Source organism: Homo sapiens, chromosome 20 (genome assembly GCF_000001405.40).
Source record: "Homo sapiens chromosome 20, GRCh38.p14 Primary Assembly".
Taxonomy (NCBI): domain Eukaryota; kingdom Metazoa; phylum Chordata; class Mammalia; order Primates; family Hominidae; genus Homo; species Homo sapiens.
This window is the reverse complement of record NC_000020.11, coordinates 56,247,799-56,259,646: the sequence shown is the minus strand read 5'-3', so window position 1 is coordinate 56,259,646 and position 11,848 is coordinate 56,247,799. Positions and strand designations below refer to the sequence as shown.

At 44.7% G+C, this 11,848-nt stretch overlaps 1 protein-coding gene across 1 annotated transcript, besides 1 other annotated feature; it reads right to left on the bottom strand.

The window, feature by feature from the left end:
- On the bottom strand, positions 9,832-10,915 carry MC3R (melanocortin 3 receptor). Its single transcript, NM_019888.3, has one exon. It carries the CDS (start codon positions 10,801-10,803, stop codon positions 9,832-9,834), a length of 972 nt encoding a protein of 323 aa, NP_063941.3. The 5' UTR covers positions 10,804-10,915.
- Positions 11,445-11,514: a silencer, noted in NCBI's record as "silent region_13056". NCBI's record gives its function as "represses an Ori minimal core promoter by ATAC-STARR-seq in GM12878 lymphoblastoid cells {active_cell/tissue: GM12878}" and the evidence as "EXISTENCE:reporter gene assay evidence [ECO:0000049][PMID:35858748]".

The following is an 11,848-nucleotide window of genomic DNA, read 5'->3' as shown; positions in this document are numbered from 1 at the left end:
CACTAATATTCTTTCATGGTAATATTAGCAATAGTACAAATACTAATGGATGCTAGGCAGTGTGCTGAGAAGCCTTATATGTATTACTTTGTTGAAATATCTAAACAATCCTTGACCTAGATGTTATGATTATTCCCATTTTTCTTGGGGAGGAAACAGAAATAAATGGCCCCATGCTGGTGAGAGGCAATGAGAAGCATGATCCCAGATGGAATTCAGGTCTTGCCCTCATCTAAAATTCATGGTAGCTCTATGTTACACTGTTCATCTTTTTGAATGAATTAACTAGGGAGTCCCAAGTTGCCCTCATTTATTCATTTGCTCAGTCCTCAGACATTTTCTGAGTCTGCTTTGGACCAGGTTGCGGGCCAGGCACTGGGGTGAACTTGGAGATGAATGAGGTAAAGCCTGCCTCCTCATGGCCCTCTCAGTGTGGAGGGGTGGTGGGAAGATGGGAGGGAAGAGGAGAAAGATATAAATATTGAATGTCTTCTGCTTCCTCTGGGCACCCATAGTTTATGCTGTCGGCCAACCTTGAAGTTGAACTCAGCATGTTGTTTCTCTCCCAACGACTACATCCATTGCTTTAAGCACTGGTGACTCATGCATTTTACTGAAGGTTTTGTGACGAGAGAAGAGGTTCCTTTGCACCCCATGCAGCAAACAGCTTAGGAGACATCACCATGAGACTTCTAAGCCCTCCTCATTTCTTCTCTCCACTTTCCTCCATGCAGCTCTGAATCACCATCCTTTGCCTTCTTCTGCAAAGACTCTGAGCTCTTCACTGGCTGGTCCACAAACCCTGGAGATGCAGCCACTCACTGAGCATCTTAGAGCCTCCACCCATTGGAAACCTGTCTTTCCCTAGCCATTTGGCTGCCAAGAAAACCCAGCTTGTCTTAATGTTATTATATTTTATAGTTACCATAGCACATGAGAAATGGTTTGGTGCAGTGCCATCCAGAAATCATGGGGGTCACCAAAAAGGAAACCAGTGGCTAAACACAGTAGAAATGCTGGTTCTGTTGTTCAATTTTCTACCTTCATTTTCATACTTTAATTAGAAATGTTTCAGTGAAGTTCTGCCTGTTTATTCTTAGTATAAATAGGATGGCAGATCAGACGTTACTTTAAATCATCTACTCTAGGGGTTTGCTTTTGTTTGTGTGGTTTTTAGCTAATTCTTTTTTGAAAATGTGTAAACTCACTATGCAAAGCAGATCGAGATAGAGGTGGTCTCATTGAGCTTGGAGCCATTCTTCTCACTCAAGGTCCCTCTATTCTCCCCTTTCCCTGACCTGGTTTCTTCTTGTCCCCCTTAACACTGACACTGGCCTCTGAAGAATCAATACATTGGTCTCCACATGTGTCAGAATACTGTTGGTTAAAAATGACAAATAGCTCAGTAACTGAAATTCTGGACTAGCTTCAGGCGTAGCTGGATCATGGTGCTCAAATTCTAGGATCAAAAATCTCCTCTCTTTCTTTTGCCTGCTTTCTTTGATGTTGGCTTCATCCTCTAATAGACTGGTCCCTCACTCCTTAAGCCTCAGGTAGCTTGGTAACAAAAGGCTTGGGGGAGGAAGTCCTCTCTTTGTCTTAGTATTTCAAGGATGGTATTATTGAGTCTCCCCAGGCTGTCTTAGGTCATGGACCTGGCTGCTGTGGCCAAGAGATAGAGGACTCCAGTTGGTCAGGTGTGGGCCAGACACTTGCCTTGGGGCTGGTGTTGAGGTGGAGTTTGTTTCACCTGAAACACAGTGCTGTGGCAGCCGTGACCTGTGACCACCACAGACAAGGATGAGGGTTGAAAACCACACATTGGATTCGGAATCCAGCTCTGCCAGTCGCGTAGATGGTATGACTGAAACCCACAAGATAACAATAGACTTGCTCATGTCATACGAGCCTTGAGCCACGCCTGGTCCCAGGCTCTCCTGAATTTCAGCTTGGTTTCCTCCACTTGGCACCCGCATCTTTTCAGGGTGAGGAAACAGTTTCTTCTTTCCTGATAAACAGAGTCCTTCACAGCCACTCTCTGATAGTTACCCTGAGGACCACCTGTGACTTTGCTCTGTGTTCTTTCTGATGCTGAGTGGGATGTGCCAGCCTCTTCAAAATCCAGCACACATCACAGAAGCAATGAGAAAAACACTAGGAAGGATTCTTTCCCCCTAATAAAAAACAAACACACTGGCAGGATTGTACATGTATCTATTTCGGTGCTTAGGCCTGTGCTCTGTAGAGTGCTTAGAGAAATGAACTGATTATTGGGGTATTTCATGGGAAATGTGTGTTTCTGGCTTGAGCAGCTCATATCATTAGCCAAATTCTTTGCTTCCACTCAGCAGAGAGCTCTGGGGGTGTAGACTTGATTTCAGCACGGCCTAATTAACAAGATGGCAAAATGGAGCATTTGAAAGAACATTTTGTAAGTTCTTACAAAGTTTTCAGAAACAAAAGCTTAACAAACGTTCACAAATGGATAGCATATAGAATGCTACGAACCCCCCTGCCAAAGCCCCTGTTATGCCAAATAATGAAGAATTTAATTATAAAATAAAATTCCCATTTAGCAGCTGCTGGATTCCCACTTGGCTCATGAGAGCTTACTTTGCATCACTTCTTAGTCTAAAAGTGACAACCTTGCACTTGTCCTTGGTGACTGTTGAAACGGAGGCTGAAATTCCTTCCAGAGAAATCCTGACCACCAAGGAGATTGTGTCCAGGGTTTGCTTATCATCTGTGCTGGATACAGAGAGCATTTATTGTGCGCCTTTTATTTCAGCTGCCATGTGGGGTCCTTTGCATTGATTTTACTTTGCTTTTTAAAACAGGTTTTAAAGTGCATGGTCATTATTATCCCATTTTACAGGTGAGGAGGCTGAACCTCAGTGATCATCACACAGCAAGTAAAAGATGCAGGATTTGAACATGGGTCTGCCTGACCTCAGAGACTGGACAACAAAATCAGAAGGGAGCTCTAGGGCTTCAAGATTTTCCTTTTGCCTCTGTGCCATTAGTTGCAAACCCCTGGGTCAGAGGTCCGTGCTTACATTTGTTGATTTTTTTTTCTTGAGACAGAGTCTTGTTCTGTTCCCCAGACTAGAGTGCAGTGGTGCAATCATGGCTCACTGCAGCCTCCAACTCCTGGGCTTGTCAAGCAATCCTCCCACCTCAGCCTCCCAAGTAGCTGGGACTACAGGTGCATGCCACCATGCCTGGCTATATTGCCCAGGCTAGTCTGGAACTCCTGGCCCCAAGCAGTCTTCCTATTTTGACCTCCCAAAGTGCTGGGATTACAGGAGTGAGCCACAAATCTCACTCAGCCATTTGTTGAATTTATCCGTGTCCTAATATGCTTTCAACTTTTGGTTAACAGCCTGGTAGAAAGGAGAAGTTAGCAGAAAAATGAAACAGTGTAGTAAGTTCTCTGATGGGGAGTCTCTGGGGCCTGGGGAGCATTGCTGAAGCCATTTTGCTCATCCCAGAAAGCTTGGTTTAAGGTGGTCCATGTTAATGTGACACATAAGGGCTTAACATGCTCCCTTTGCTCTTTTGAATTAGTGGATTATTTAACGTAGTACAATAGCACCTTTTTCTGAGCACTATTTTCCAGGCATGTGATTGGATGTTCACATACACCACCTTGGCAGCCTGCATAAAATCAGGCCCCCATGTGGTTCTGTCCCAATGTGGCATCACAGTCAAAGAAATAAGGTGGAGAGGAACAAAATGAGGGTAATGCAGGCCATTTCATCCCCCTGAGAACATTTGGCAATGTCTGGAGACATTTTTGTCATGTGTTAGGATTTGGGGAGTTACTGGCATCTCATGGGTAGAGGCCGGAGATGCTACTAAACATGCTAACAGCACAGGACAGCCTCCTACAACAGAGAATGAGCTGCTTCCAAATGTCAGTGATGTTGAGGCTGAGAAACTCAGGTGAAATGCAGTGAAAATATTTAGTGCATTCTCTCCAGAGAATGCCAAGGGGTCAGAGAATACATGCCAATTGCACAGCCAAACTGCTTGAGAATCCTGACTCGATCTATCCTTCTCTGTGGACCCATCACATGGATGGCAGCTTCTTTCTTGGCCCAGTCTCAGTGGTATTCTTGACTTCCTCTCCTCTCCTGCCTTATTTCTGGGCCTTACTCCCCCTCTCCTCTAATGGTTTTATTTTGAGCATAGGTTTTCTCAAACTTCAATTTTTCAAACATTCCTATTCTGAATTTTAAAATGCCTGTATCCCATTAATTTAATTTTTTTTTTCCTTTGGAGACAGTCTTGCTCTATTGCCCAGGCTGGAGTGCAGTGGTGCGATCTTGACTCACTGCAACCTCTGCCTCCTGGGTTCAAGTGATTCTTGTGCCTCAGTCTCCTGAGTAGCTGAGATTACAGGCATGCTCCACCGTGCCCAGCTAATTTTTGTATTTTTTAGTAGAGACAGGGTTTCACCATGTTGGCTAGGCTGGTCTCGAACTCCTGGCCTCAAGTAATCCACCCACCTCAGCCTCCCAAGGTGCTGAGATTACAGGCGTGCTCCACCATACCCAGCAAGTTTTTGTGTTTTTTAGTAGAGACGGGGTTTCACCATGTTGGCTAGGCTGGTCTCGAACTCCTGGCCTCAGGTAATCCACCCACCTCAGCCTTCCAAGGTGCTGGGATTACAGGTGTGAGCCACATCGCCGGCTTTATTTAATTTTATCCTAGTCAACTCACTTCTTTCTTTGCAGGTACCACTCAAGTCTCATGTTTAGCAATACTATTTTAAAAATCATGAGTTTTATAAACAATATAATATACATTCAGACATACATATTATGTTAATACACTTTAAAATATTCAAATTGTTGTTTACTTGGAAAGTTATTCTGTGAAAAAAAAGTGGGCACGTGTTGATATGTGTACTCATCACAAACCATCTTGTATGCCTCCCGTGGAATTCACTTTGTACTTGTAGAAACATTAGGCTAAACTTTCACCTTCTCCTCTCCTTCCCCTCATTAATAACTGCTGTTTTCAGGAACCTCAGAGACGAGGGGCAGGAAAACTGCAGGCAACTTCAGAAATGTCTAGAGTCCAGCAAGCGAAGGGGAAAGGGGACGTGAAGTTCACGTGCTAATTATTTTTGGACATTGTTATACTTCACTGAATCATCACAGCTGCTTGCTGCCATGTAAGTAGGTGGAGCTCCCACCTTGCAGATAAGCCAATGAGGTGCCCAGAGGTCAAGAGACTTGCCTAAGGATGCACACCCAGCGCTGCCTGGCTCCTCCTCCAAAGCCTTTTTTTCCCTTGCTGGCACTACCGCCTTGGGTGTCCTTGTGTGTTGGTTTTTATCCACATCTCTGATGATTAAAGAAAAGTGGATTCAATGTGTAAGTGCTTCTTTAAGCCTGTAGCGTTAGTGGTCATTTTCCAATCATCTCAGCTCTGCCTCATCCCTGCTGAGTAGTATCGGTCAAGACAGTCAAGATGATTCACGTCTGTGATCCACAGATTCCTTATCTATAGGACAAGAGGTAAAAGTGCCTGCCTTACGGGGTTTTGGCGAGGATTAAATAAGTTAATATACCTAGGTGCTTAGTAAAGTATCAGCCACATAATAAACACCATATCATGTCTTTTGTTATTATTTTTGTTGATTTGGCTCCTAAATAAATGCTCTTAGATATGAAAGGTTGAGTTCTCTGATTGAAGGGTTTATCTTGTATTCTGCATTTCGTTATCTGGTTCTTCCAAGTTTCTAGATTTGCCTTGGTTTTTGGATGATCCAACATTAATTTAAGGTAGGTGACACCCCGACCTGAAAGGATGACAGGAAGGGGTGATAGGGCAGACATGTAAGCTCCTGAGGTGTTGATTTTTGTTATTCTTTAAGGATAATAATCAGAACTTGTTGGTTTTGGTGGTTTTCTGAGTTTGGTGTACATCATACACCGTGTATACCAAACTCGGAAAATCACCTGTGGATTTTAAAATTTTCAGATATCTGGAGATGACCTCTGATCTATTGGATCATGAGATTCAGGGAACAGGCTGTCTTTCTCAAACTTCACATGGTGCTGACAGTCACCAAAATTTGAGAATCTCCAGTGTGCTATATTCTCTTTGGTTAGATTTGAGCTCATATTTAAATGTGTTAATAAAGTCACATATTTTTATTGACTATTTTTATCTCCTAGGCACTACTTTCTGGTGAGAGAGATTGATGAGAATTAATCAAATAAATTAACAAGAAAATATAAAATAGTAATAAGAGCTGTGATAAAACAGTGATGGTGTGAGTGACTGAGGTCCTCCTTTAGAGAGCGCAGTCAGGGAAGGCATCTCTGAGGATTTGGGCTGGAGGCTGATAAGAAGGAGCATGTGCCAGGAAGATCTGAGGTAGAGACCCGAGGCAGGGGGAACAGTGGTTGCAAAGGCCCTGGGGCAGAGAGGAGCATATGGCAAATGCGAGTCTGGTTTGGGGCGGGGCAGAGGCATGGTGTAAGGGGAGGCTGGAGAGTTAGCAGAAGAGATCAGATGACTAGAGTTTAGCAGGGCTGGGTAAGGAACTGGGCTTTTATTCAAAAGGTAATGGGAGACACTGAAGAGTTTTGAGCAGAAGTGTAATATAATCTGATTTATATTTTTAAATAATTGCACTAGCTGCTATGTGGAGAATGGATTTTAGTGGAGGTGAGCGTGAATTAAAAAATGTTTTCAGCCAGAGAGGCTAGCGTATGTTTTAGCACCCAGCCTCTATAGAAAGATTTCAAAATTAAATTCAAAAGTTCATCTTAAATAAGGACAACAGGCAACAACTTCTCAGGACTCAGAGAATCAAGTACTGCAGGGATTCTGCCTTGGGGATGGGGGTGAAAATCGATAAATGAATTAACAGATGAGCTAAAATCATGGTGTGCTTTTACTTCCAACAATTAAGCATTTTCAAACATGACTGTCCTGCCGCTTAAAACATCTGGTGAGTTCCCACTTGAGAATCTGAGAAAGTGGTCGCGGAGGAGACAGTGGCACCCCAGCGTTCAGGGTTGTTCACTAGGGAAACGGATGCTTTAGTAACTTACCTCTTTGATGCACTCCCCAGGGCTACTCACAGACTTTGGAAAATTTATAGCAAGTTAAAGAATTAATTGTGCCTTTTGATTTTTATGACATCTCTCTGGAAACTCTGCTGGGAACATCTGGACCTGTGTGTGGTAGAAACATGCATCAAGTTCTCTCTGCATGGCGACACGTGGCTCCCAAGTCATTGGGTCCCAGTTCAAAGGTTCCTGTGTCATCATGAGAGGGGCTAGGACACTGGTTGGATTTGGGGGTGGGGGCTGGCCAGCCTGAATCTCCCTATCTCTACTTGCTGGCCGAGTTCCTATAGACAAGCTCCTTAACCTCTCCGAGTTTCACATAGCTCATCTGCAAAATCAGGATAACCATGGTATCTACCTGGTAGGGTTATCACAAGGAGCAAATGCCTGTGAAGTGCTTAGCACAGTCCCTGGCGTGGGGTCAGCATTCTAGGCAGAAGAGTACTTTTACTTCGCATAATACTCATTTGAAAATCCTCTATGCCCTTGCTCTTTAAGATGGGGACCCCCAACCAGCAGCCACGTCCCCGAGGAGCTTGTCGGAGTTAGAAATGCAGACTCTTAGTCCCTACCTTGGACCTGCCGAATCAGATTCTGCACTTGCACAGGATCCCAGGTGATGCTCGTGGGCCTTCCAGTTTGGAAGTGCCCCTGCAAGCTAAAACATACAGGGAGGAGAGGGGGACTAGTTTTGATGATGAAAACCTGCTGGCAGCAGCATATTGGTGCAAAAGGACATCAGCCCCAGGATGCAGAATATACCATGACCCTAACTAGGTGGGTGCTCCTGGACAACCATATCACCCCTCCAAGGCTAAATTTCTTCATTTGTAAAATGACTCACCTATTTTAGAGGTTTGCTAATGGGATAAAATGAAATAGTGTGAAAACTGATATAAGAGTGAAAAGTAAGTTATTTTTATCTTGTTTACATAGAAAAAAGACATAATCCCTATAGCTATTCATATCACTTTCAAGTAATTAGATTCCCCATTCTCTACATTTACCCACTGAGCGGCCATGGAAAGTCCTGTAATTTAGTGTCTTGATTAAAATAATGGAGAACGACAGTGGCCCGGGAACCACAAACCTGGTATTTTTGGAAACTAAATGGGAGAGTTTTGTAGTTTGGCTAAAAGGCATTGCCCTAGAAAAGACTAGCACTGTGATCAATGGAGCTGTTTATGCCACTTACAAAGTCATCACTGAATTGCAGTGAAACATACCATGGCCGTGTGCAGGAGTCACCAGAATGATTCCAGGGTGTATTTCAATGTAACACACGTTTAGCAGCCATAAAAGCTTTTTATTATTTCCAAACATCATAACCAAAGCAAGAAAGGAATGGTTTTGCTTATATTAGCAGAAAATCTTCAAGTATTAAAGAACCCCAGTATATGCTAGTGCAAGATAAACACACAATTGCACCCCAAGACACAGCTTAATATAAGAATTTGTGACAGGGGGAGATATGGGGACAGCCAGAAAGCACAAATTGAAGTTATCTTGGGCAGAAAAGGATCTGACAATGCGAGCACTAGTCAGCCAGTCTCACCCTTTGCTCCCAGGAATGAATTCCTGTACTTGATAGGATATAGACATTGATAACAGGGTCACTCAACTTTAACACAATGCCAAGCAAAAAGGGAAAAGAACAAAAAAACTTTCTCTTTCATAGATAATATTGAAGAAGTCCTGTGATAGAGATGCAATTACTATAAGCAAAAACAAGGGCTCCCAAGAAAGTCACACAGTGGTTCTACGGTTTCTCAAACTATCTTAAGCTACAGTAAAGCAATTTCTTGTGATACACACACACACACACACACACACACACACACACACACACGTATATACATGTACCCCAACCCATGATTTCCTTTCTTGTTTTAAAGGCTAAAAGTAAATGATAGAAAAAAAGAAGTTATTTTAAAAAGATTAATCTATACCTTAAAATAGCAAGGTATCAAAATACACGTACACAAGTATATTCTGATTGTCCAAAGCACTTTCTCTCTTTCGTTAGAGTTTTGAAGGTTGTCTTAGATTTAATCCATAAAAACAAAACAACAACACACACCAACACAACAACAGAAAAATAGAAGTGGGTTACATCCTCATGCTACCTTTGGGGGTGGGGACAACTGAAGGGATATGGGGGTAAGAAAAGGGGAAAACGGCATAGCATTGCTCCTTTCACAAAGAGACAATTGTCTAACTGTAAATAGAATAATAGAGTAGAACTCAGTCTCCTACGGAGTTATAAGTGCAAAGCTATCTCTCCGTGTAGCTGGCAGCAGGAGGTCGTAGCTGTAACAGGTTTGCTTGCAAGAGATCTGAACCACCCTTATTGTTCATGAGAATCCTTCAGTCTGGTCTGGCCTGGAGCATGAAGACGTGGGTGTGGAGCAGATGAGCAGACAGGCGTCGCACACCCTGGGTGTTTGGAAATGAGTGCAGAGAGCATGCAGAGAAGCCTTCGCTGATTTCTCCCAGTGACTATTTGGGAAATCAGAGTTTGTGACTTACCCATCTTGGAATCCTTTCAGAGAATCTGTTGTTCACCAATTTTCCCCTTTAAAAGGCTTTGTAAACTTAAAAACAAACGACAAGTACAATCATGGCTGTTAACACATTTTTATATTTTCTAAGTATATATATTTTTCTTTCTAAACACCTCACGTGGATGGAAAGTCAAAAGTGACCCGACTGATGATCATTTCCATGGCCCTGCATCCTATCCCAAGTTCATGCCGTTGCAGCCACAGAGAATCTCCCTAAAGGTGTTGCGCAATTCCAGGCTCCGGAAAGCGTAGATGAGTGGGTCGATGACGGAGTTGCACATGATGAGGACCAGGTAGGTGTTGAAGTGGGCAGTGTAGCAGATGCAGTAGGGGTTGGTGGGGCAGGTGATGATGAGGACCAGGTGGAGGAAGAAGGGGGCCCAGCAGAAGATGAACACGCCCAGGAGAATGGTGATGGTGACTGCCCCCTTCATGCATGAGTGTTGCTGTGGGGCCACCCCGTCGGCAGGTGGCAGTGCTGCTATGCGCTTGACGTGCAGCCGCGCAAAGAGGAACATGTGCACGTAGAGGGTGCCCATGAGGAGCATCATGGCGAAGAACATGGTGATGAGGCACACAATGACCATTTTGCTCTCCGAGTAGACGATGAACACCACGCCACAGACGCCGCAGCAGACCCAGATGGCCACGATCAAGGTGAGGGCCTTCCTCACGGTCATGATGCTGTGGTAGCGGAGCGCGTAAAAGATGGTGACGTACCTGTCGACGGCGATGGCCAGGAGGTTGCAGATGGAGGCCACCAGGGAGATGCAGATCATGGAGTCGAAGATGTTGTCCATGTGCTGGATAAACTGGTCCTCGAAGGTCAGGTAGTCGCTGTGGACGATGGCGATCATGATGGTCTCCAGGGCATTGGACACACTTACCAGCATGTCGGCCACCGCCAGGCTGCAGAGAAAGAAGTACATCGGGGAGTGCAGGTTGCCGTTCCTGACCACGGCCAGGATAACCAGGATGTTTTCCAGCAGACTGACGATGCCCAGAGACAGGAAAACCTCGGGCTTGATGAAGACCTGCTCACAGAAGGCGCTGCTGCTCTGGTTGCTGAAGAAAGGGGCTTGGAGGTGCTCCGAGCCATTAGGCAGTGTTGGCTGAACAGAGGGCAGGCAGCACGAAGCATTCATTGCTGTCAGAAGGGCTGATCCGAGCTGGGGCTCCAGCAGGGTCCGTAGGAAGCTGCTGCTGCTCACAGGAAAGACAAAATCTCCCTCCAGATACGTCTTTTGGATGCTCATTCAATCTGGCCTTAGAGTTTATTCTCCTCTAGAATAAAAGGATGGGGAGGGTAGAGAGACAGATAGTGAGAGAGGGTGGAGGAAGAGACAGAGAGAGAGAGAGACATACACACAGAGAGAAAGAGCGAAGGGGGAAGAGAGAGAGAGAGGGAGAGTAGCTAGTTAGTAGCTAGCATGCAAGTTTGTAGCTTGGAGACATAGGGAGAACTTTGCTGTTCCAGGAGGAGCAGTTTTTATCTTGTTTACATAGAAAAAATACACCATAGGGTCTCTTACCAGCTGTCTTCCTTCTGTCTCCCTCTCACCCCTCTGTTTGTCTCTCCTCACTTCCCCACCTGGGAACAGAAAACCTGCCACCGGCTGCTACAGTTACAGCTCTTTTCATGGCAAGACAGGGGATGTGTTACTTGTCGCTAGAAGTGAAGGGAGAACACTCAGGTTTTTCATATTGGCCAAGGGCAAACAACTCCTACTTAATCTTCAGCGCAGCAGAATGACCACTGAGCATCGGGCACCTCTCTGACTGACAGCAGGTACCTGGCCCTGAGGATTCTGCAGGGAGATTAAGAAGCAGACTAGTGCCCTCTGCAGGCCGCACGGCTGTCTGCTTGCTGGCTTGGCTTAGCCCTTTGTGTTTGTCATGGAAACTGCCACAGGCATCCACTCATCTGTTCATTTGTTTGTTTATTTGTTAGTTCATTCATTTGTTGTTGTTGTTTAGCAAACATTTATTGAGCGCCTACTATGTGTCAGGTCTCTGCTGAGTGCAGGAAATACAGTGGTGAGCAAGACAACAGCCACTATCTCAGGCTTCCCCGAACTCAGAGTCTGGGGTGGAAGAAGAGGAATCAATAAATGCTTGAATCAGGAAAGTCCAGGAAACCAGGGATGCAAAGAGGAAGAGCCCTAACCCGGACTGTCAAAGTTCCTGGAG

What these genes read in the sequence shown, in the direction of transcription:
- MC3R (NM_019888.3), bottom strand. Translation starts at nt 10,803, where the DNA reads ATGAATGCTTCGTGCTGCCTGCCCTCTGTTCAGCCAACACTGCCTAAT.